The sequence below is a fragment of the Homo sapiens genome, chromosome 15 (assembly GCF_000001405.40).
Source record: "Homo sapiens chromosome 15, GRCh38.p14 Primary Assembly".
NCBI classification, from domain to species: Eukaryota; Metazoa; Chordata; class Mammalia; order Primates; family Hominidae; genus Homo; species Homo sapiens.
Window position 1 is genome coordinate 82,986,167 of NC_000015.10, and position 25,496 is coordinate 83,011,662.

The 25,496-nt window shown below is 44.9% G+C and overlaps 2 protein-coding genes across 8 annotated transcripts, besides 1 other annotated feature; one reads left to right on the forward strand and one right to left on the reverse strand.

Annotated features, from left to right (window-relative positions):
• Positions 44 to 4,891, forward strand: RAMAC (RNA guanine-7 methyltransferase activating subunit). The gene is made up of 4 exons (NM_031452.4): positions 44 to 203; positions 1,170 to 1,218; positions 2,844 to 3,022; positions 3,715 to 4,891. The coding sequence occupies exons 3-4, from the start codon at positions 2,853 to 2,855 to the stop codon at positions 3,899 to 3,901; spliced, it is 357 nt and encodes a 118-aa protein (NP_113640.1). The 5' UTR covers positions 44 to 203; positions 1,170 to 1,218; positions 2,844 to 2,852; the 3' UTR covers positions 3,902 to 4,891.
• On the reverse strand, positions 2,797 to 25,473 carry C15orf40 (chromosome 15 open reading frame 40). Of its 7 annotated transcripts, NM_001160115.2 has the most exons (5): positions 25,331 to 25,473; positions 24,071 to 24,197; positions 22,382 to 22,509; positions 5,766 to 5,880; positions 4,395 to 4,489 (listed from the first exon to the last, which is right to left on the reverse strand). In NM_001160115.2, the coding sequence occupies exons 1-5, from the start codon at positions 25,439 to 25,441 to the stop codon at positions 4,467 to 4,469; spliced, it is 504 nt and encodes a 167-aa protein (NP_001153587.1). In that variant the 5' UTR covers positions 25,442 to 25,473; the 3' UTR covers positions 4,395 to 4,466. The 7 variants fall into 7 exon arrangements, 5 of the variants coding, with proteins under 5 accessions (NP_001153588.1, NP_001153587.1, NP_653198.2 ...); NM_001160116.2 differs by lacking the exons at positions 4,395 to 4,489; positions 5,766 to 5,880 and adding an exon at positions 2,797 to 2,991; NM_144597.3 differs by lacking the exons at positions 4,395 to 4,489; positions 5,766 to 5,880 and adding an exon at positions 8,651 to 19,526.
• Positions 14,251 to 14,545: a silencer, noted in NCBI's record as "tiled region #12194; K562 Repressive DNase matched - State 5:Enh". NCBI's record gives its function as "represses a minimal TATA promoter and a strong SV40 promoter by Sharpr-MPRA in K562 cells {active_cell/tissue: K562}" and the evidence as "EXISTENCE:reporter gene assay evidence [ECO:0000049][PMID:27701403]".
• Positions 25,474 to 25,496: the final 23 nt, after the last annotated feature.

The window sequence follows — 25,496 nt, forward strand, 5'->3', positions numbered from 1 at the left end:
CTTGACAGGCACCCTCAACTTTAGCCCGCCGGAAGCGGAAGTCAGGTGGTTGTCGGATTTTAGAGGAAGGCGCTCGGTTACATTGGAGAACTGGAGTGGTCTGGAGTTCCACGGTGTAGTGGACCAGAGGCCACCTCTCCTGGGCTTCTCAGTGTCTCGCCGGCGGGGTTCGGCCTGAGCTGGATTGACATAGCCCTTGGCGGGTGAGTCGCCCCGGACGCCCGGGAGGAGGGAGCGGGGCGGCCGAGCTGGGTGGCCAGCGAGGTGTCCTCCCCCTGTGCGGTGATCTGTACTCTTTGCTAGACCGAAGCCCGTTTACTTCTCACGGCCCATAATTTCCCTCACTTCTGGAGGTATAAGGTGCTTCGGAAGGGAGCAAATCTGCCAGAACCTTGGTAAGCAAGCTGTGATGTGCCTTGAGGACGGACTGGAAAACGCAGTTGTTTTCAGTCTGCATCTTCGTCTGTTCCCCGGGCTCACCTCCCAGGGCAGCGAAACCCCATTCTGGTTGGTTATTTCCAGGGTTAGTCGCCCGCAGCCAAAGTTCTTTGTGGTTTTATTTGTGGTGAATAAATTAGCAGTATTCAAGTACAAATCTGAAAGGCTTACCCTAAAAGAACATACATACTTTATGAAGTTTGTATTCATACTTGAACTATTTTGCTTTTGAAGGCCCAGAGGACAAATCTTGTAGCTTCTTGCTCTTGAGAACCAGTTCCCTCTTTGGAATATTAGCTTTGGAAGTCTTTAGAGCGTTTTTTTGGTTTGTTTTTTGTTTTTTTTTTGAGACGGAGTCTCGCTCTGTCGCCCAGGCTGGAGTGCAGTGGCGCGATCTCCGCCTCCCAAGTTCAAGCGATTCTCCTGCCTCAGCCTCCCGAGTAGCTGGGACTACAGGCACATGCCACCACGCCTGGCTAATTTTTTCTATTTTTAGGAGAGACGAGGTTTCACCGTGTTAGCCAGGCTGGTCTCGATCTCTTGACTTCGTGATCTGCCCGCCTCGGCCTCCCAAAGTGTTGGGATTACAGAGGTGAGCCACCGCGCCTGGCCTTAGAGCACTTTTACTCCAATTCTTTCCTTGAATAAGACTCTTATGCGCCACCCTCCCCTACAAACACCTTTTGAGAGTTTCCTTAAATAAAGTCAAGTTTGTTTTTTTCCTCCCACAGATTTAAACAACCTAAACATTAAGCAGTACAGCTGCCTCAAACCTTTGGGGTAAGTAAAGCTTGGGTCGATTAACATTCTATTTAAATTTCGTTCTCAGTAATAATACAGTTGATATTTGTTTACATGAGTATGGGTGGGGAGTCGTGGGAGAACATATGAGAACATAAAAATGGAGTAGCACCTTTTCCTTGCCTTATGATTTTTACTGCCCATCTGGATTAGGTATGGGTCATCTTTTTAGTGATTTCTGTGATCCCACTAGAATTCTAGACATGATTTTTAATTAGCTGAATTTATTTAAAACTCATTCCTTGGATTTGAGAATTTGATATAGTTTGCCAATCCCAGACACATTGAAAGTCTGATATTTGGTATTTGATAAAGCATACTAAGAGCAATAGCCTGAAAGATAAGAGTGTCAGGCTGGGCGCGGTGGCTTATGCCTGTTATCCCAGTACTTTGGGAGGCTGAGGCAGGCAGATCACCTGAGGTCAGGAGTTCAAGATCAGCCTGGCCAACATGATGAAACCCTGTCTCTACTAAAAATACAAAAATTAGCGAGCGGGCGTGCACCTGTAATCCCAGCTATTCGGGAGGCAGAGACAGGAGAATCACTTGAATTCGAGAGGCAGAGATTGCAGTGAGCCGAGATCGCGCCATTGCACTCTAGCCTGGGCAACAAGAGTGAAACTCCGTCTCAAAAAAAAAAAAAAAAAAAGGCTGGGCGCAGTGGCTCATACCTGTAATCCCAGGACTTTGGGAGGCCAAAGCGGGCGGATTATGAGGTCAGGAGTTCAAGACCCGCCTGGCCAACAAAACCCCATCTCTACTAAAAATGCAAAAATTAGCTGGGTGTGGTGGCGCGTGCCTGTAATCCCAGCTACTTGGGAGGCTGAGGCAGGAGAATTGCTTGAACCTGGGAGGCAGAGGTTGCAGTGTGCTGAGATCGCGCCATTGCACTCCAACTCTGGGTGACAGAGCAAGACTCCGTCTGGGGGAAAAGGAAAAAGAAAAAATCTACATATTGTTTCTTGCAATGCAACAATAATTTCCGTTTAATTTTGTTGGGGTTAAAGTAGGTAGTATAAATGTTACAAATATTTGCATATGTTTGGAGGAAAGGCAGACTAATGAAGAAGTTATCACAATAGCTTCCATTGTCACATCTTTTTGTCCCAAACCTTTTATTGGAAGTTAATAAAGTAAGAAAAATAATTCGGGCCAGGCACAGTGGCTCATGCCTGTAATCCCAGCACTTTGGGAAGCCAAGGCAGGAGGATCACCGAAGCCCAAGACTTCCAGCCTAGGCAACATGGCGAGATCCCGTCTCTTCAAAAAATACGAAAATTAGCCGGGTGTGGGTGGCATGCACCTGTAGTTCCAGCAACTTGGGAGGCTGAGGTGGGAGGATTGTTTGAGCCAGGGAAGTCAAGGCTGCAGTGACCCGAGGTTGTGCCGCTGTGCTCCAGCCTGGGTGACAAAGTGAGAGACCCTGTCTCAAAAAAAAAAAAAAAATGTTGAATTCAATATCTAAAATATGACATGTCTGAAAGCACACAAAGACTTCCATGAATACCCCGCCTAAAAATTGCTTACTTCTTGGTTTTTCATTATTTGGAGAGAGTGTTAATTTTTAAATTTTTTTTAATGGAAATGTCTTTAAAATTGTACAGATTTTCAGAATGACTGACACTGCCGAAGCTGTTCCAAAGTTTGAAGAGATGTTTGCTAGTAGATTCACAGAAAATGACAAGGAGTATCAGGAATACCTGAAACGCCCTCCTGAGTCTCCTCCAATTGTTGAGGAATGGAATAGCAGAGCTGGTGGGAACCAAAGAAACAGAGGCAATCGGTGTGTATTCAAAAGAATAAATGCAGATAGTTGATCTGGCAGAGGATAGCTTTAATCTGCTAGACTGGAAGGCCAGTGAGGGCAGGGACCAGTGTTTTTGGTATGGCATACCTAGTACCTAATAACAGTACCTGGTACATCATTTCTGATAAATATTTGCTTTAATATTTTTTCAGCACCATGTATTTTTTCCTTGCTGTTCAAGTGCGTGTGTTTTTTTGTTTTTAGATGTTTTTTCTGTAGACTAATATTTTCAATGCAAATCTACTTTAAAAACCTAGAGTTTTCTACAGCTTGTTCAATTCCATAAAGAAAACATTGTTTCGATTTTACTTTAGGAAGAAGTTTACAAATGGAAGTTACTTTTACTTAATAATTCAAAATAGTCAAAGGAATAAATTACCATACCATTTTTGTACAATTGAATAGATTTCACTTTAATTTGGAACTATTCTATTGGTTATATAGTCTGCCTATGTCTCTGTAAAGTGTACCTAGTATAATACTGGAAGAATGATTTCAATCTTAGGAAAGTTTTGAATAACTGGCACTATAACATTCTATTGTGAAAAATGTTTTTTAGTCTTATTTATTGTGTATTAGAATGAGAAACCAGAAGCACTGCTATGGGTTTGTCATATGTTTTTTTTAACAAGGGAAGTTTAAAGATCTTTTTTGTTTTATTGTTGTAGGTTGCAAGACAACAGACAGTTCAGAGGCAGGGACAACAGATGGGGGTGGCCAAGTGACAATCGATCCAATCAGTGGCATGGACGATCCTGGGGTAACAACTACCCGCAACACAGACAAGAACCTTACTATCCCCAGCAATATGGACATTATGGTTACAACCAGCGGCCTCCTTACGGTTACTACTGATAGAAATGTTGGCAGCTTTTAGTAAAAGCATTTACTCTGTTACCATGAGAAAAGTTTGGGTGTCTTCTGTTGGTCATAGTTTTACATCTGATTTTACAGAATGGATTATTGATTTTTTGGAAGTTGAGACTTTAAAAAAAATAGATCTTACTTGCGAAATGCGATGGTTGCTGGGAATACCTGAAACTGTGGATTATATTGCTTGACTTCTACCTCAGAATCTTCTTTGTTTCATGACTTAATAGTGCTTTAAGTTTGGTATATTATTTGACCTCTAGGAATTCTTTGTTTTACACAGAAATAAAAATTTTAAAATAGAAAATGCTTTTACTTTGTAAGGTAAGAGAGTATCCATATGCTTAGATGTGCTCGTTTCTAAAATTCTAGAGGTTGATATAATCAGCTCATGAATGCACAGCTATGCTTTTTGTGATAGATTGTACATAACATCAGCAGTTGAAAGGTAAAACAATTGCTTTTTTTTTTTTTTGCATTTGTTAAGTGACTATGGTACTTTGTGATTCCTTAATCTATAGATGAGTCAGCTCCACACTTGAGTCTCTTTTTAGAGGGAAATCAGTAATAAAGCTGTAAAATAAGGAAGGAATCATTGTCAGTTTGTGTCTTGATCTGGTGGTGGTTGGGATAAGGGTACACATCATTTTATACAAACACTAAAGCTTTTTGCTAACAACATAGCAGGTCAAAATTCACACATAAGAAAGTTTAACTCTGTACTGTTCACACTTTTTAATCCTGTAAATAATGCTGCATTTTGATGGTTCTTACTTTTTTGGTATTTAATGTGGGCTGATTTTACAATGTTATATTCACTTCCAGATGCATACCTCTGCTGCTTTCTCTCCTATAAATAGTGATGCTATAAACTTCCTTTCACAGAGATCATTCTATTTCAAATCACTTTAATGATTATTACAATGATTTCATTCAAATAAAAATTTTAAAATATTTAAGCATCTTCACTCCCAAGTTCTGGCAGTTAGCCCATTTATTAATATGGTGAAATGAGATTTTTGGGTTTTTTTATGCTGTCCTTCATATCTGTTGAAAAGGGCTTATTTGGTTTAACAGTAACATTAAGAGTGCAAATTTCAACATAGGTCAAAGGAATTAACAGGCACCTTCCTGACTTTATTAGAGTGACAAAAAAATATATATATTTAAAAAGGCGTCTTCCAGCCAGGCATGGTGGCTCATGCCTGTAGTCCCAGCACTTTGGGAGGCTGTGGGCGGATCACTTGGGGTCAGGAGTTCGAGACCAGCCTGACCAACATGATGAGACCCCGTCTCTACTAAAAATACAAAAATTAGCCGGGTGTGGTGGCACATGCCTGTAATCCCAGCTACTCGGGAGGCTGAGGCAGGACAATTGTTTGAAGCCCAGAGGCGGAAGTTGCAGTGAGCCAAGATCGTGCCACTGCACTCCAGCCTGGGCAACAGAGCAAGACTTCATCTCATAAAAAAAACGGGGGCATCTTCGTAAACCTATTTTTAATGCCTTCTCTCTTAGCACCCCACTCTAGGCCCTCGAGGTTGACTTCTCCAGGTACTTCATGCTCTCCATCTACCTCTCCCTTTTATTCTCCCTTCCTGAAGAGCCATCCTCTCGGGTAACTGTTTTATTGGAAATGACCTAATAAGTCGGGCAGTCACACTAAGATGCAAATACAATTTTAATAGTAAGGGTTTTCCCTGTAACCTCCCTAATTACATCAGTAGGCAAGAAGCCAGTGCTGTTATATAAAGATAGGATTTGATACTACAGATATTTAGTCTAGATAGTAATGTCCTGACTACACCCCAGAATCTTCTCTGAAAGCAGAAGTGTTATCAAAAATATCACCTGGTTGGGTATGGTGGCTCACACCTGTTATCCCAGCACTCTGGGAGGCCGAGGCGGGAAGATCACTTGAAGCCAGGAGTTCGAGGCCAGCCTGGGCAATGTAGCAAGATCCTGTCTCTACAGAAAATTTTAAAATTAGCTGGGTGTGGTGGTGCACGCCTGTAGTCCTAGCTACTCAGGAGGCTGAGGCAGGAGGCTCCCTTGAGTCCGGGAAGAGTTCAAGACTACAGTGAGCTAGGATCATGGCACTGTACTCCAGTTTGGGCTAGATAGATGCTGTCTCTTAAAAGTAATGATTTATAGGCTGGGCACGGTGGCTCACAGTTGTAATCGCAGCACTTTGGGGGGCTGAGATGGGCAGATCACCCCAGGTGAGGAGTTCGAGACCAGCCTGGCCAATATGGTGAAATCCTGTCTCTATTAAAAATACGAAAATTAGCCAGGCATGGTGGCGGATGCCTGTAATCCCAGTTACTCGGGAGACTGAGTTAAGAGAATCACTTGAACCTGGGAGGTGGAGGTGGCAGTGACCTGAGACCATGCCATTGCACTCCAGCCTGGGCAACAAGAGCGAAACTCTCTCAAAGAAAAAAAAAAAGATTTATAAAATCATCTCCTGAGAAAGCACAGGCACTGACCAGTAGTTGGGACAGTATAGCTGACTGTAGCTTTAGGTCAGGATTCTGTGCTGTGCCAGCTGTTGACACAAAGGGAGATGTATGGGTCCAAGGCCAGCGCTGGAGGAGTACTTCTCAGGAAGCTCAGAAGAGAGGTGGTTTTCCAACAGTATTTAAATGTTTTAACACCCAACACAGCTAGGCTGCTTGTGTCCTGAGTATCAGCCGTGCTTGAAAAAATGGGAGGAAACCTTTTAACATGAGTAAATTCTGCATGCTGCATGAATAATCTATGTTGTTATGGTTTTTGTTTTTTAACAGCAGTTACTATCAGACTGTACCCCTGCCCCTGATCTGCTTAAAACCAGGAAGAAATAAAAGGTACAGTTTCTGCTTCATAAGACAGAAAATAACATGAAAAAAAGCTTAAAGATAATTTAAGAGTGAGAGCAAATAAAATAGTGTCAAATAGAATTAATTTCAAGTAGTCTGTTGTAATAACATATGGCATTAGGTATAAGGAATCCTAGCTTCCAGTTCTGTGCTTAAAACATATGTGACCGTGAGAAAATCATGTAAACACTGAGCTTATTGGCTCAGCTGTAAAAATGGGGACAATACCCACCCTGCCACCCTCACAGAATTATAAAAATAAATAATCAAAGGAAGAACTTGAGAATATAGAGTTGTGACCATTAAATCCCTAGTAGGACACAATAGGTGCTGCATAAACATTTGTTGAATCAACGGGAGGGAAGTATTTGGTAAATTGTAAAGCGTAGTGTTGACATAAAGGATGTAGAGTAACGGGCAGAAGATGAGGTAGGGCAGAAGACGTTGAGAATTAAGGATTTGTGATTGTTTCCTTATGTTAATTCATATGTGAATTAGCAAAGGAAAGCAAGTTATCTCATTCAGAAAATAAACACTTCAAATGTGGAAGATGGTTTGTATAAAAGTTGAGCTAAAATTAGTAGCATTTGGCCAGGCTCAGTGGCTCATGCTAGTAATCTCAGCACTTTGGGTGGCCAAGGAGGTGGACCATCTGAGGTCAGGAGTTCGAGACCAGCCTAGCCAACATGGCAAAAACCCCGTCTCTATGAAAAATACAAAAATTAGCCAAGCATGGTGGTGCAGTCCCAGCTACTAGGGAGGCTGAGGCTGGAGAATCGCTTGAACCTGGGAGGTGGAGGTTACAGTGAGCCGAGATTGTGCCACTGCACTCCAGCCTAAGTGACAGGGCAAGACTCCATCTCAAAAATAAATAAATACATAAATTAAAATAAAATTACTAACATTTGCCATTTGGAAATTAGTAGTGAATTTAGAATGTCAAATGTTAATTACTGAACACATCAGATTAATGTCCTTTTGAGAACAGGATGCTGGGGACTTTTAGAGTTTTTTGTTTGTGTTTTGTTTTTGAGTGCTAGGTGGACTTGGGGTTATACAGAATGTAATAAACTTGAGTCACTGCTCTGAGAATAGTTTTGGGGTTCTTGAAACCACATAGGAAAAAGACATCTGGGGAGATTTCTAGCATGGTTTTTGTTTCCAAAGCCACTTTCCTTATAATGCTCAACAGACAAATAGGTAATTATCCCTTGTATTTTATTCACCTAAAGAAAAATGTAGGACTTTATAATAGAATTAAGGGTAATAAAATGTCAGCTTTAAGTTTAGAATGTTAAAATTGAAGGAAATAATCATTTACCCTGAATCAGGTTATTGACAGCACTAATTTTGAACTCTCATAAAAGAACTCTACTTGTTTCCTAAATATAATGTTTTTTAAAAATTTTATTTATTTTAAACAAGTTCAAGCCAAACCGAAATACAATTTTTTATACCTTAAAAATTTCCCTAGACTTCCTATTTCATTTGATTCATTCAATCCAAACACAGATCTGGCTGTGTATGGAAAACTATGCCGTAGACTGTTGACTTCTTCTAATTAGCACAATAATCTACAGTGAAAAGGATTTTTTTTAAATTAGGCAATATAGGAAATAAATACTCCCAGTTTAAGGTGGCCTCTATTATTATTGGACTTTAGTTAGCTGGAAATGTTAGTTGTGAAAGTACTTACTTTGTAATGTCAGACAAATTAGATATTATATGTAAACTATTCACTGAAATGCCTATTTGAATTTTTCTTTCAGTATCTTGCATTTTAACCAGAGACACATATTTAATATATATAAATGAGGATTTTGAAATATTAAATAAGGCTTTGGTTAATTCTGTGTGAAAAATTATATAAGGTACTCAAAGAATCTTCGTTCTGTTTATTTATGAACACAGAAAGATATGCTTTTAAAACTCTCAAATTTTAAAATTGATTTAAGCCCAGTAGCAGAAAATACTCTTGACATTGGCAGAAGTGAATATTGTTAATATTTAGATTAATCATTCAGGATTCAGATATATCCAGATATGACATAATATCTAAACAAAGATTTCTCCTGACATCTGCTGTATTAAATTATTATAGAATGAAATAAACAACTAGATTCAAGTAGTAGATTACAACACTGGAGCCCACAGCAGCCTTGAGAGCAGATTATCTCCTCTTTTCTAGAAGTCTGGTTGATTACTGCTGGCACCAGCTTTTGAGGAAAATAAGGATGGAAGTAGAGATCCCTTGACTTGTGCACATTCTGGGAGAGAGAGTGGCCCTGGGCCAGGCTGGCTGCATGGGTCCCAATCAGTGGGGCTGCACTCCATCATGGTGTGCCCAGGATGAGGAATAAGTGACACTTCAGCTGTCGTGACACTGCTGAGGCCTCTGGGTGCCAGAGAAACATCTTGCTTCTGAGGAATTCAATTATCAGTGCTGTCAGATTAGAAAAGTGGAGATGAGCTGTGGATAATACCCCTCAGATTTAAACATTTGCAGGATGAAACAGGAGGAGCAGGTTAACGAAGAAGACAAGTCTTCAGTCAGAACAGCTGGCCAGGCACGGTGGCTCACGCCTGTAATCCCATCACTTTGGGAGGCCAAGGTGGAAGGATCACCTGAGGTCAGGAGTTCCAGACCAGCCTGGCCAACATGGCAAAACCCCATCTCTACTAAAAATACAAAAATTAGCTGGGTGTGGTGGTACATGACTGTAATCCCAGCTACTCCGGAGGCTGAGGCAGGAGAATCGCTTGAACCCAGGAGGCGGAGGTTGCAGTGAGCCAAGATTGCACCACTGCACTCCAGCCTGGGTGACCGAGCGAGACTCCGTCTCAAAAACAAACAGGCAACAAAAACAGCTAATATGTGATTCGACTGCCCCATTGCAGGATTAAGAGAGAGCATAAAGCATGCAGCACTAAGCTAGGCACATAATGGCTACCCAGTCAGTCAGGTTCGTATATAAGAGTGAGTTATCTGTGGGCTGCTTAGGTGCAAGAAGGACAAGTCGCATAATTTTCACCAGTGTCTTCATGGGCTGATGGGCTGATTTCAGTTGTTTTCACTCCTCTCCCTAAAGGGCACAGACAGCCCCATGTATGGGCTAATTCAGTTGGTGTTTTCACTCCTTTCCCTCAGGGACACGAGAGCCCTATGTATTAATTACCAGTTAGATTTTCTCTGGGTTTCAGTGACTCCTCCTGAGACAGCTTCAGGGGATGATGTGATGATGATCTCATGGTTTTTTTCCACTGCTCGTGCCTTTAACTCCCTAAAGAATCTCCAGTCTCTTTGTCTGAATTAGGTAAATAAAGCTGTTCTAATTGCTAATGGCTAGAGCTTTGTTGTTTGTGTGTGTATTTTTCTCATTTTAAAATTTCCTCAACTTGTGTGTTTACAAAATAATAAAGCTGGCGCGGTGGCTCACGCCTGTAATCCCAGTACTTTGGGAGGCCGAGGCAGGCGGATCACGAGGTCAGGAGATCGAGACCATTCTGGCTAACACGGTGAAACCCCGTCTCTACTAAAAATACAAAAAGAAATTAGCCGGGCGTGGTGGCGGGCACCTGCAGTCCCAGCTACTCAGGAGGCTGAGGCAGGAGAATGGCGTGAACCCAGGACGCAGAACTTGCAGTAGGCCGAGACTGCGACACTGCACTCCAGCCTGGGTGACAGAGTGAGACTCCGTCTCAAAATAAAATTAAAATAAAATAAAATAATAAAATAAAATAAAAAATATAAAAAGTGAAACAATACAAAAATGAATAATTTTGGCTGGATGCAGTGGTTCACGCCTGTAATCCCAGTAATTTGGGAGGCCAAGGCGGATGGATCGCCTGAGGTCAGGAGTCTGAGACCAGCCTGGCCAACATGGTGAAACCCCGTCTCTACTAAAAATACAACAACAAGAAAAAAATTTAGCCAGGCATGGTGGCTCAGGCCTGTAATCCCAGCTACTTGGAAGGCTGAGGCAGGAGAATCGCTTGAACCTGGGAGGCGGAGGTTGCAGTGAGCCAAGATTGAACCACTGCACTCCAGCCTAGGCAACAAGAGCGAAACTTCGTCTCAAATAATAATAATAATAATAATAATTATTATTATTATTTTTAACTGACTTCTATAGCTGTTATTTTCCTGTCTTTATTCACTGTTCTCTATCTTGCCTTCTAAATTTCATACCGTTTTCAGCCTCTTCTCTGTTGCACTGTTTCCAACATGGTCTTTATTTCTATTATGCTTTTGTTTTTCATTTTTATTTATTTATTTTTATTTTTTTTTAATTTATTTTTTTATTGATAATTCTTGGGTGTTTCTCACAGAGGGGGATTTGGCAGGGAAGGTCAGCAGATAAACAAGTGAACAAAGGTCTCTGGTTTTCCTAGGCAGAGGACCCTGCGGCCTTCCGCAGTGTTTGTGTCCCTGATTACTTGAGATTAGGGAGTGGTGATGACTCTTAACGAGCATGCTGCCTTCAAGCATCTGTTTAACAAAGCACATCTTGCACCGCCCTTAATCCATTTAACCCTGAGTGGACACAGCGCATGTTTCAGAGAGCACAGGGTTGGGGGCAAGGTCACAGATCAACAGGATCCCAAGGCAGAGGAATTTTTCTTAGTGCAGAACAAAATGAAAAGTCTCCCATGTCTACTTCTTTCCACACAGACACAGCAACCATCCGATCTCTCAATCTTTTCCCCACCTTTCCCGCCTTTCTATTCCACAAAGCCGCCATTGTCATCCTGGCCCGTTCTCAATGAGCTGTTGGGCACACCTCCCAGACGGGGTGGTGGCCGGGCAGAGGGGCTCCTCACTTCCCAGTAGGGGCGGCCGGGCAGAGGCGCCCCTCACCTCCCAGACGGGGCGGCTGGCAGGGCAGGGGGGCTGACCCCCCCCCACCTCCCTCCCGGACGGGGCGGCTGGCCGGGCAGAGGGGCTCCTCACTTCCCAGTAGGGGCGGCCGGGCAGAGGCGCCCCTCACCTCCCAGACGGGGCGGCTGGCCGGGCGGAGGGCTGACCCCCCCACCTCCCTCCCGGACGGGGCGGCTGGCCAGGCGGGGGGCTGACCCCCCCACCTCCCTCCCGGACGGGGCGGCTGACCCCCCATCTCCCTCCCGGACGGGGTGGCTGGCCGGGCTGAGGGGCTCCTCACTTCCCAGTAGGGGCGGCCGGGCAGAGGCGCCCCTCACCTCCCGGACGGGGCGGCTGGCCGGGCGGGGGGCTGACCCCCCACCTCCCTCCCGGACGGCACGGCTGGCCAGGCGGGGGGCTGACCCCCCCACCTCCCTCCCGGATGGGGTGGCTGGCCGGGCGGGGGACTGACCCCCCCCCACCTCCCTCCCGGACGGGGTGGCTGCCGGGCGGAGACGCTCCTCACTTCCCAGATGGGGTGGCTGCCGGGCGGAGAGGCTCCTCACTTCTCAGATGGGGCAGCTGCCGGGCGGAGGGGCTCCTCACTTCTCAGACGGGGTGGTTGCCAGGCAGAGGGTCTCCTCACTTCTCAGACGGGGCGGCCGGGCAGAGACGCTCCTCACCTCCCAGACGGGGTCTCGGCCGGGCAGAGGCGCTCCTCACATCCCAGATGGGGCGGCGGGGCAGAGGCGCTCCCCACATCTCAGATGATGGGCGGCCGGGCAGAGACGCTCCTCACTTCCTAGATGTGATGGCGGCTGGGAAGAGGCGCTCCTCACTTCCTAGATGGGATGGCGGCCGGGCGGAGACGCTCCTCACTTTCCAGACTGGGCAGCCAGGCAGAGGGGCTCCTCACATCCCAGACGATGGGCGGCCAGGCAGAGACACTCCTCACTTCCCAGACGGGGTGGCGGCCGGGCAGAGGCTGCAATCTCGGCACTTTGGGAGGCCAAGGCAGGCGGCTGGGAGGTGTAGGTTGTAGTGAGCCGAGATCACGCCACTGCACTCCAGCCTGGGCACCATTGAGCACTGAGTGAACGAGACTCCGTCTGCAATCCCGGCACCTCGGGAGGCCGAGGTTGGCGGATCACTCGTGGTTAGGGGCTGGAGACCGGCCCGGCCAACACAGCGAAACCCCGTCTCCACCAAAACCAGTCAGGCGTGGCGGCGCGCGCCTGCAATCACAGGCACTGGGCAGGCTGAGGCAGGAGAATCAGGCAGGGAGGTTGCAGTGAGCCGAGATGGCAGCAGTACAGTCCAGCTTTGGCTTGGCATCAGAGGGAGACCGTGGGGAGAGGGAGAGGGTGAGGGAGAGGGGGAGGGGGAGGGGGAGGGGGCTCATTTTTATTTATTTGAGACAGCGTCTTGCCCTCTCACCCAAGCTGGAGTGCAGTGGCGCAATCATGGCTCACTACGTCGAACTCCTGAGCTCAAGTGATCCTCCTGCCTCAGCCTCGCAAGTAGCTGAGACTACAGGCACACACCACCATGCCTAGTTAATTTTTTTAATTTTTTTTGGAGAAATGGGGTCTTACCACGTCGCCCAAGCTGGTCTCAAACTCCTGGCCACAAACTATCCTCCTACCTCAGCTTCCCAAAGTGCTGGGATTACAAGCGTGAGCCAACATGGCCAGCCTTACCTTTTACTTTTAAATTATGTTAGCCACATTTCAAGTGCTCAATAGCCACATGTGGTGTGAGCAGCTATCACGTGTACATGCCACCCAGTACGGCTGTAGAAGAGAACTAAAGGCTAGCTAGCATTTCTGTTGACTTGACTCACTCCCTTATTGTCCACAGTGCCCCAATCCCCCTAGGCATCTCTGGGGAAACCTAAGGCTTTGAAACAGTTTGAACGTCACTGCGATAGTAAAAACACATCACAGATTAGTTTTCTGTAGAAATGACCAGGGAGTACGTAACTTGTGGCTGCAAAGTTTGGGGATTCTTCCCTCCCCAAACTCTATCTAGGGGACCGATGGACCCTGAGGCAGACAGGATTATAAAATGCAAAAACCCTTAATAACTAAATTATGAGGATTGTCTGAGGAATGCCTATGTGGGTAGAAATAGGTGGTCTTCCTGCAACCTAGAAAAAGGGAGTTCCTGTACTATGAAGGATCATTATCTCCAGTGTTGTCCCAAAAGACCTTCTGTGGCTGGCTGATACCATAGGTCCATCCCTGCAGCAGAAATGGGAGCTATAGATGGTCATAGCTCCCTTACCCTGGCCCCTAATTTCCCTGGCTCTGATTCCAGGCTCTCCAAGCAGCCTTCAAATGATGATTCTCTTAAAGAGATTTCCCAAAGGGACAGAATGTTCTCACTAGCAGATCCCACTATACAGTCTATTTGGCAGTTGTGTTCTTCACTCAAGTTAATAAGCTGGCATCTTGATAAGAAATTAGCTCCTTGCCAATTGCCCAGCCTAGATCCATTTTCAGAAACACTGGCTACGTGGATTTCTGAAACCTGCAGAGTTAAGGAAGGAACTCAAGACCATGCTGACTCCACCATGGCAATGGGCTGAGACTCTCACGAACCCAGCTGGCCCCAAGTTAACAACACTCCGACCTGAGCTAAATTTAAGATACAAGGGGACTAAGCTTAAGGAATGGCTCTGAGAAAACGAGAAGGATCACAGCATGTGAGCCCGTAGTCAGGCACTGCAGACTACCTAATAGTGCTGTTCACTACAAAAGGAAACGAGTTTCAGTTTGTGTGGCTTTTTGCTGTTGTGTTATGGTGCCACCTCTTGGATGTAAATTGAAATTCTAAGTTTTTAGTCACTAGTTACATGCATTAAAACAATTTGAATTTGGGGCCATGTGGGTTCTAAAATTTATACTCTGCATTACAGCTAAAGAACTATGTAACCAAATCCCTGGAATCTAGGAGGGGGATGCTGACAGCCCACAGCCCAGAGAGCTGCCTCCTAAAGTTTGAGCATTTAGGTATTTGGAACTTTATTTTTCAAGATGGAATCTCTGTCGCCCAGGCTGGAATGCAGTGGCATGATCTTGGCTCACTGCAACCTCTGCCTCCTGGGTTCAAGCAATTCTCAGGCCTCAGCCTCCCAAGTAGCTGGGACTACAGGCATGCATTGCCATGCCCAGCGAATATTTGTATTTGTAGTAGAAACAGGGTTTCGCCATATTGGTCAGGCTGGTCTTAAACTCCTGACTTCAAGTGATCCACCCGCCTCAGCCTCCCAAAGTGCTGGGATTACAGGCATAAGCCACTGCACTGGCCTAGGTGTGCACTGCAAAGGTTCCACCTTCATCCTCTGGTTATTGCTGTCCCTCCCCTAACCGAGAGGAAAGTGTGGAATGGCTCACAGAAATCAGAAGTCTGAAATCTCTGCTCCTGCCTCCAGGGCATAATGAGCCAGGCTGTTCTTTCCCAGGATCTGTCGAAGTACAGCATAGGCAAACCACCTAGCAGTGTCTGTCAAGTAAGCAACCAAGTTAATAAGTGATTAATACATCATGTTTGCACAAGTAATTATCATTTATTAAGGTGCGGGTGATAGATGACAGATGCAGTGCTAGAACATCATATGTCGGCATAGTTGGATAAATATTTTTCAAACCTTATTCATAGGCTGCTTCAAATCCAGGATTCTCAGGACAGCACAGGACAAGAAAGACAGTGTAATCAAGTCACTATAGACTGCCTAGCCAGTACTCACTTGAAATTAATGGGAGTGAGCAAAGCTAGAACCATGTCATTAGACAAATGTTACGGAGGCTGAATATTTTGTGTCTTGGGCACTAGGTCACTGGGTCTACTTCAGTATTTACAGGGGAATACCAGGGCCCAGATGATGAAAAGTACATTAACTGAGCTTCTACAGCAGGTCAAGGTGCCCAAGCCTTAGCTGTGATCTCTTAACAGTAGGAATAGTCCTGTGTGAGACAATTAAGTTGTGAGGCTGCTGTAGACTATCTTGTTTGCAGTGGGGAAAAGGGAATCGTGTTCTGGGAATACAGCCCCTGGGCCAGTTCCTACCTCCAACAGTAGTTTGTTTTGTTTTGTTTGTTTCTGTTTTTTTGTTGTTGTTATTGAGACAGAGCCTTGCTCTGTCACCCAGGCTGGAGTGCAGTGGTGTGATCCCGGCTCACTGCAGCTTCTGATTCCCGGGTTCAAGCAATTCTCCTGCTTCAGCCTCCCAAGTAGCTGAGATTACAGTCATGTACCACCACGCCCAGCTAATTTTTGTAATTTTTAGTAGAGGTGGGGTTTCACCATGGTGGCCAGGCTGGTCTTGAACTCCTGACCTCAGGTGATCCACCCACCTTGGCCTCCCAAAGTGCTGGGATTACAGGTGTGAGCCACCATGCCCGGCCCCAAAGTAGTTTTTGATGACAGAGTGTCCCCATATCTTCTTTGTTACAAGATACTGCTACGTTTCTCAAAGAAAAAAACTCACTAGGCAAAATGTTCCCACGTTTAAAATATCACCGTTTAAAATGAAGTAAATAGGTTATCGTAGTAGAAACTGGTGGTTCCTCTCCAGCATCCATTCCTCTCTTTGTAACTTTTCCCAATTTTATTCAGGTATCCAACTCTCTCTACTTCTTTGCTTCTGAGTATGCTGACCCCATTTCCACCTCTAGGATGGGCCTTAATTGGCCTGAAACAATTAGGGTAATTCTTTCTTCTATAGTTACTGCTTTAGGGAACTTGTGTTATAGAATGGCATTCCCTGATCACAGGGGCTGGCTTAGAAATTTCATGTGACTTGATTTGGGCTGATACAAGGGAAGGCTGACTGAAAGCTTCTGGAAAATACCAGAGCTCCTAGGAGTGGCCTTTTCTCCTACTGCAGGGGTTGATACGTGAATATGAAACCTGGTTGGCCTTTTGTCTACATGAAACAAGTGGGCCTGAGGATGAAACTGGCACTGCAGAAGATTCAGGGGAAGGAAAGAAAGCTGATTTTTTTTTTTCTTGAGACGGAGTCTGCCTCTGCAGCCCACGCTGGAGCGCAGTTCGCAGTTGTGCGATCTTGGCTCACTGCAACCTCTGCCTCCAGGGTCCCGGTTCACAAGCAATTCTCCTGCCTCAGCCTCCCGAGTAGCTGGGATTACAAGCATCTGCCACTATGCCCAGGTAACTTTTGTATTTTTAGTAGAGACGGGGTTTCACCATGTTGGCCAGGGTGATCTTGAACTCCTGACCTCGTGATCTGCCTGCCTCGGCCTCCCAAAGCGCTGGAATTACAGGCGTAAGCCAACACGCCTGACCAAAAGTTGATCCTTTTTTTTTTTTTTTTTTTTTGAGATGGAGTTTCGCTCCTTTTGCCCAGGCTAGAGTGCAATGGCACGATCTCAGCTCACCGCAACCTCCAACTCCCGGGTTCAAGCGATTCTCCTACCTCAGCCTCCCGAGTAGCTGCAATTACAGGCATGTGCCACCACGCCCAGCTAATTTTTTGTATTTTTAGTAGAGATGGGGTTTCTCCATGTTGGTCAGGCTGGTCTCGAATTCCCGACCTCAGGTGATCCACCTGCCTTGGCCTCCCAAAGTGCTGGGATTACAGGTGTGAGCTACCATGCCCGGCCAGGAAAGTTGATCTTTTATGATATCATTTTATGACATTCTAACAGTGATCCATGTAAAATCCACAAGTAAAACGGCTTTACAGCACACATGGCAATGGTCTTGAGAAAGAGTGGGAAAAGCTCTTAAGACCATGTAAAACAGAAGCACATTTGCAGGCAGTATATGGCACAGTTTAGAAGACAAAGCAGCTGGGCTTAAACCAAGCTCTGCCATTAATGTGCACTGTGATCTCACATAAGCCACCTTTTCTTGCCCTTGATACCTATTTGGTACAAGTTAAGAGTTGTACTAGACGAGTAGCTTCTCTTTCACTGTCTGGGATTTTTTCTTTCTTTTTGAGACGGAGTCTCACTCTTGTCGCCGAGGCTGGAGTGCAGTGGCACCGTGTGGGCTCACTGCAACTTCCGTCTCCTGGGTTCAAGCAATTCTCCTGCCTCAGCCTCCCGAGTAGCTGAGATTACAGGCACCCACCACCATGCCTGGCTAGTTTTTATATTTTTAGTAGAGATGGGGTTTTACTATGTTGGCCGGGCTGGTCTCAAACTCCTAACCTCAGGTGATCCACCCGCCTCGACCTCCCAAAGTGCTGGGATTACAGGCATGAGCCACCACACCCGGCCTGGACTTCTTATATATGAGGTCTTATATATAATCTTACATATAAATATATATATCTATGTATAAAATCTATCTATGTATATCTATCTATCTATAAAGAAAGAGACAGAGACAGATACAGGGTCTCACTTCGTTGCCCAGGCTGGTCTCAAACTCCTGGGCTCAAGTGTTCCTCCTGCCTCAACCTTCCAAAGCGCTGGGATTACAGGCGTGAGCCACCAAGCCCAGCTACCATCAGCAATTTTTATTATTGTTCTTCCTTGTGGATTTTGTTTTTAATGATTTGGTCCATCAATACATCTTTCTCATGTACTTGCTGGACAAAGCGCACAACTGCAGATCAGCTCTCCTGATCAGCAAAGGAAATTAATTTTATTTTCTTTAATAAATTACTATAACTTGACCTGAAGATGTAAAAATATATTATTAGCTTTTGAAACTTTAATATAGATGTAATTTCTGACAAGCTTTTACAAATACTGAAAATAGCTTCCAAGTCCTCTTTCTTCTTTTAAGGATCTTTGGAGATTCATAAAAACTACTGAATTTGCTGATTATTTAAGTTATTAGAGGAAGATGAAAATTCAGTGACTTCTCAAAAATTATAATTCACATTTAATTACAAGTCATGATTTTTCTTTACTTTTTCAACAAAATGGTAAATATAGTCTTTAAAAGATGTAAAAAAAAAATTTTTTTTACATTTAAATAAGCATTTAAAAATCTAAGGTAAGACTACAAAGCAGCATAACAGGTTTTCTGTCACTTGTAAACTGGATTAGAAGGCAATCCCCAGAATTCCAGAACCGTTGTGGAGATATGATTTTTAATTTACAATCTAGAAAAACTGCATTCAACAAGTAGTCCAAGGATTTGGGTTCTAGTTGCCAGCTTGCATGGTACAATCTTGAGTAAGTCTCTCAACTTCTGGATATAGGAAATCAAAGGCCCCCCAACAGAATGAAAGGTGTTAAATCAGGTCATCTTGAATATTCTTCCCAGCTCTGTTATTTTACAACGCCATGAAATCAGAGTAACATGTTCCAGGCTGTTTGGGGTTTGGGATTTTAGAACCTGATGCAATGTATAGCACTTTTTAAATTTCTACTTTTTGGAGTCTTATTCGAATATATACATATATATATGTCCCCCATGTTCTTCTGTGCATGTAGTATATTTTTCTATTTAACAGCCTCTTCACCATTAGCAATAAAAAAGTTTCTCAAGGATGTATTTTTTATTTCTTTTTTTTCGGGGGGAGAGAGTTTCACTCTTGTTGCCCAGGCTGGAGTGCAACGGCGCGATCTCGGCTTACTGCAACCTCCGCCCCCCAGGTTCAAGTGATTCTCCTGCCTCAGCCTCCTGAGTAACTGGGATTACAGGCATGCGCCATCACATCTGGCTAATTTTGTATTTTTCGTAGAGATGGGGTTTCACCATGTTGGTCAGGCTGGTCTCGAACTCCTGACCTCAGGTGATCCGCCCACCACGGCCTCCCAAAGTGCTGGGATTACAGGCATGAGCCACTGCGCCCGGCCTCATTTCTTGCTTTTATGTTTTTTTGGCTTCCTTTTTTAATTTCTCCAAGATCTCTTCTGGAGTTGTAGAAGCCAAAAGCTTCACCACCTTTTCACGAGATTTACCACCCTGGACCAAAAGAGAAAAAGCATACTTTACTGTTTAGCACATTCTAATGCTATTAGAGATAGCAGACCTCCGTTGTATAATGGGCTCTCCTGATGGCTTTCTCTTGGTTACTTCTGGTCTAACCAAAGACTATCTCTTAGATTCTTCCTTACTACCATTTGTTACTAAACATTTGTTAGTACTAACAACTCTCCAGGGTTTTTACCTTCATACATCAATTTCTATAATAAAAGCTGGACATTAAAATCTCAAAAATGGGCCAGGCGCGGTGGCTCACGCCTGTAATCCCAGCACTTTAGGAGGCCAAGGTGGGTAGATCACGAGGTCAGGAGTTCAAGACCAGCCTGACCAACATGGTGAAACCCCGTCTGTACTAAAAATACAAAAAATTAGCCGGGCATGGTGGCATGTGCCTGTAATCCCAGCTACTCAGGAGACTGAGGCAGGAAAATCGCTGGAACCCAGGAGGCAGAGGCTGCAGTGAGCTGAGATCGCGCCACTGCACTCCAGCCTGGGCAACAGAGCAAGACTCCATCTCAAAAAAAAAAAAAATCTAAAAAATGATATTCTAGTCTCAAGCAATTAAGTTAAAAATGAAAATCATCTTTAAAATACCAAAATAAATATTGCAATTTTATATAAACTTTGTAGTAAAATAATTATAAATATAAACAAATTGCTATTCTCTATGTTGTTAAACATTTCTGAAAATTCCAAACAAAAAGTAGCCACATATCCAAGTGCCACGATTTCACAACCACTTAAAACTTTAAAAAGGATTTGTTGGCCAGGTGTGGTGGCTCACACCTGTAATCCTAGCACTCTGGGAGGCTGAGGCGGGTGGATCACCTGAGGTCAGGAGTTCGAGACCAGCCTGGCCAATGTGGCAAAACCCTGTCTCTACTAAAAATTAGCCAGACGTGTTGGCGCGCGCCTCCAATCCCAGCTACTCGGGAGGCTGAAGCAGGAGAATCACTTGAACCGGGGAGGGGCGGGGCGCGGGGCGGATGTTGCAGTGAGCCGAGATTGCGCCATCGCACCCTAGCCTGGGCAACAAGAGCGAAAACACCGTCCCAAAAGAAAAAGAAAGGATTTGTTTTCAAACACAGCCTTTAAAGAAGATAAAATTTGAGAAGGGGTTTATTTAGATGAGTGGAATTTGAACAGGCAGAAGAATGAGGAACATCTTTCAGGCAAACGTCAGCGCATGAGCACTAGCCAAAAATCAGAAATGACCTGCCACAGGTGGGGAGCATTCAAATGGATTTTTAGGTGCAGTCTGTTAATCAATGACTGTGAATGCCAGCTGGAACCTGGATAGGAGCTATATAGTATAGCACTGGAAAACAAGCAGAGCTTTAAGAAATATAAACATGGCTGGGCCCCCCTCCTGCAGATTCTATTTCAAGAAGCCTAGAGTGATACCCAGGGATCTGTATTTAGAAATCATTCCCAGGTGACTTTGATCTCCACCCCTAGTGCAAAACCATATTAATGACATCATATGAACCTTCTATCTTCCCAATGAGCTTCTCCTAGCAAGCAAGGACAAAGTACTTGACGGAGTCCCTCATGGAGATGACTAACAATAGGAATTGCTTTAGATTGTTTAGCGTGGTGATGACTTAAAGGATGAGAGAGCTAAGCAAGATTAATCTGACAGCAGGTTCAGGAATGAATTCAGAAAGGAGAAAACACTGGCAACAGCGGCAGTGAAGAAGCATAGGCACACAGTGTGGATAGTCTCAGTAAGGATTAAGGCAGCAGGCATGAAGGAGACTAAATAGGAAGAATTGACAGATTTATGCAATTAAGTAAATATAAAAGTTATAAACAACTAGTTTCCCAATTATTTGAAAAAGACAAAGAAAAATCAGTATTTTATGAATCATCATTAATATGTAATAATCAAACATGGCTGGGCATGGTGGTTCACGTTTGTAATCCCAGCACTTTGGGAGGCTGAGGTGGGCAGATCAGTTGAGGTCAGGAGTTCAAGACCAGCCTGGCCAACATGATGAAACCCCGTCTCTACTAAAAATACAAAAATTAGCTGGGTGTGGTGGTGGGCACCTGTAATCCCAGCTACTTGGGAGGCCTGAGGCTGAAGAATCACTTGAACCTGGGAGGCAGAGGTTGCAGTGAGCCAAGATCACGCCACTGCATTCCAGCCTGGGCAACAGAGCAAGACTCCATCTCAAAAAAGAAATAAAATAAGGCCAGGCGCAGTGGCTCACGCCTGTAATCCCAGCACTTTGGGAGGCCGGGGTGGGTGAATCACCTGAGGTCAGGCGTTCAAGACCAGCCTGTCCAACATGGTGAAACCCTGTCTCTACTACAAATACAAAAATTAGGTGGGCCTGGTGGTGGGTGCCTGTAATCCCAACTACTCAGGAGGCTGAGGCAGGAGAATCGCTTGAATCCAGGAGTGAGAGGTAGCAGTGCGTCAAGATTGCACCACTGCACTCCAGGCTGGACAACAGAGCGAGACTCCGTCTCAAAAAAAAAAAGAAAATAATTAAAGAAGTTTAAAAAGAGAGAGACCTCCGGGCATGGTGGCTCATACCTCTAATCCCAGCGCTTCGGGAGGAGAAGGCAGGTGGATCATTTGAGGTCAGGAGTTCAAGACCAGCCTGACCAACATGGTGAAACTCCGTCTCTATTAAAAATACAAAAATTAGCCAGGCATGGTGGCATGCGCCTATAATCCCAGCTACTCAGGAAGCTGAGGCAGGAGAATAGCTTGAACCCAGGAGGTGGAGGTTGCAGTGAGCCAAGACTACGCCACTGCACTCCAGCTTGGGCGACAGAGCAAGATTTTGTCTCAAAAAAAAAAAAAAGAGAGCGAGACCTACCTTATCCAAAACCACATCACTCTTCCTGAGTTCTAGGACCTTGGAAAGATACCGACAGAGCTCAGCATTAGCCTCTCCCTCTGATGGAGGTGCTGCAATAGCTACATTTACAGCCTCTGCTGTCAAATCTGGAATGAAAATAGTGTGGACTTTATCCTTAAGGAGTTCTTTTTCTTCATGAAGCAAGGACATTTTGTAAAAGAGTTTTTGCATTTGCCTGGCACACAGATTTTCAATTAAAAACTGTTGAATGAAGAAATGAATGATTAAACTAATCACATTTAAGGAACATGAACATGATAAAAATGGCCCTACCATTACAGGAAATAAATCCAGAGAAGAAAAGTTATTGACCCAATCTTGCCGACCAAGATGGGCTTACAGAGCCCTGGGGAATATCCTGGATTTAGGCAACTGGAAATTGCCCTTGGTATGTGAAGAGCCCCAGGCAGGGAGTCATAGATGGCCTTCAGCCTCATCAATGTCACTGAAGAAGTGTATGGACAGGGCAGCTTACTAGATTGTACAAGGTTGTGCAGGGTTTCCTCAACAGGAAAATGAGAGCCCCGGACTAGGTTCACCTCTTATGTGACACATATCTTGAGTGTTTTTAAAATTTAATAATGTTTACTTAACAAATATTTACAGAGCACTTACTATACACCAATTTTAAGCACACACAAATGTGTTAAAGGCTTTACAAATACTAACTTCTTTAATCCTTATAATAACTTTATGAAGATATTAGTACCATTATTATCTCCATTTTACAAATGAGCCATGGCATCCAGCCTCCCATTTTAGATCTAATGAAACATAATACTCCAACGTAGACAGTGTCCACACCCACTACTTAGAAAATGCTGGCCAAGGAGGGTATGGCTAAGTTAACTTGGTCATCAGCATAAACCAGGTCTAGCACGTCAATGTTGTGGTTTTCCTTTCAAAATCTAAAAATGGTTTGAAATACAGAGCTTTAGAGGTGAAAAAGACCTTCAAAAGAATTTAGAGCAATGGTTTTTGAACTTTTTTTCCTTTAGAATCCCTTCCCCCAATTTTCTCCAGAATCCCAATATGTAAAACAAATGTAAACAGAGCTAGTCAGGAGCCCTGTCTGCCTGGCCTCCTCCTTGCCCAAAGCTGATTCCTGAGGCACCTCCAGCACTCCAGAGAATAGCCTGAAAGCCTCTAACTTAGTCCAACGATCTCATCTGACAGATGAAAAAACTGGACCCATGAATGTTTTATACTGTTTTGATTTAAAACAAATTCGCACAGGAACTGATCACGGGTCTCAGATCTCAAGTTTTCTCCCTCTCCTTAGGCCAGTGATCATTAAACTACACTAAAATGTCTCTTCTTTCTCTGGCCAATGTCTCCAGTTTTGGAACAGGACAAACTAAGAATAATCCAGACTACACACAAGTTTCCATAACTGTCCTTTCTAAAATACTGTATTTTTAAAGAGGAAAATATACAATGGTTTTCGTGTAACTTGGCATGATTTAAAGATATATTCACTTTAAGACACCTTTACATTAGAATCTAGAATTTTAAAATGGAGAAGCCTCTAACTGCAGATGTGAAAAATCAACTGTCATAGAATAAGCTTTCAGCTAACCAAAGCAAAGGAGGGCTGTAGGAGACACCTGATTCACACTTGAATCCCACCCCAGTGTCCAGGTATACCTGTTACAGCATTTTGTTTGGAGCCAGGTTTTGCATGGATGGCTATGGTGACGCATCCTTTAGGATCAACTGCCACAGGACCTAAGGGAGGAAGTGGTCTCTCTGGTTCCTTGCTCTGGCTTTTACCCTAAAATGACAACCACACAACTTTACAGGTTACAAAATATTTTCCCACACATTTAATTTGATTCTTCCACTACCCCCTTTCACCCTTAACAGACAAACTAGGCTCATCAGTGGTGTCCAGGGACTTCTGGCCACCTAGAAAGCTTTTCCCACAACCTTCAAGGCTCTACTCAATTTTCCCACGAAGGGTTCCCATCAACCCAACAGTGTTTTTTCCCCCCTTGCAAGAAAACCTAACTCTGGCTTCTAAACCTTAATGCTTGCTCCTCCCTCTGCTTTGTATTTCCAATTCCTTGGGGGCAGGGATCATTTATTATTCATCATTGTATCTCATGCAGTCGGAGCTAATAAATGTTGGTGAAAGTGTGTATGTCTGCATGTTGCGGGAAAGGGAGGAAAAAAAAATAGTGCTTGATATTTAAAGGCCTGTTATGGGACAGGGGCTGTGCTAGGAACTTTCGTTCAACAAATATGTAGGCAATGGATATGTAAAGATGAAAAGGTACATGGTCCTTGCTCTCAAGGAGCTCGGACTGCTGCGAGGGAGAAAGAACATACAAAATTATAATACACTGTGCTAAGTGCACCGATGAGATAGGCACAGAACATTACCCCACAGGCAAATCAGCATTGGGGCACTGGAGAATGCTGCCAGCAGGAGGCAGTGCTTGAGCTGAGTCTGAGAAACGGACTGGGGTTGGCCAAACAAAGATGGTGGAAATGGGAGTGCTGTATTCTTGACAGAAGGGGTGCGATCAGCCAAAGCAAGGGAGGAGAAAGCAGAATACAGCCTCCTGGGGAAACGCAGGTCATGCCGCTGCGGGAACATGAATTGCTGGACTGGGAGTGCGGGTAGGAGGCCAAAGGTCAGCACACGCAGCCCAAGGAGAGCTCGGCTGCCGCCGGGCCCAGCGCTCAGAAATCACCAGGTGGACGGCAGCGCAGCCTACTGAGGCGGGGCGACGGCAGCAGGCCGCAGCTCTGGGGGTGGCGGCGGCTGTCCTGAGCCCCGGAACTGAGAGACGGCAAGCCGCTGGCAGTGCCTCCACTCACTCCCGGGCCCCGCTTCTCCCGCGCTCTTCAACAAGTACCCCTGAGGCCCACCCCTCTGCCGCCACGGGACCTGCTACTGGCCTTGGTCGTCGCACCAGCCTTCTTAGGCATCTCGGCGCAAAGAAGCCGAGCGGAGCCCCGAGTATTGGGTGTTGCCCGAAGGTGCCTCAGCCCGCTGCGGAGCCGCAGCATCCCCGCCTGGGAAGGCGCCGGAAGAGCCCTCTGCGCTTGCGCAGGTAGCCGGCAG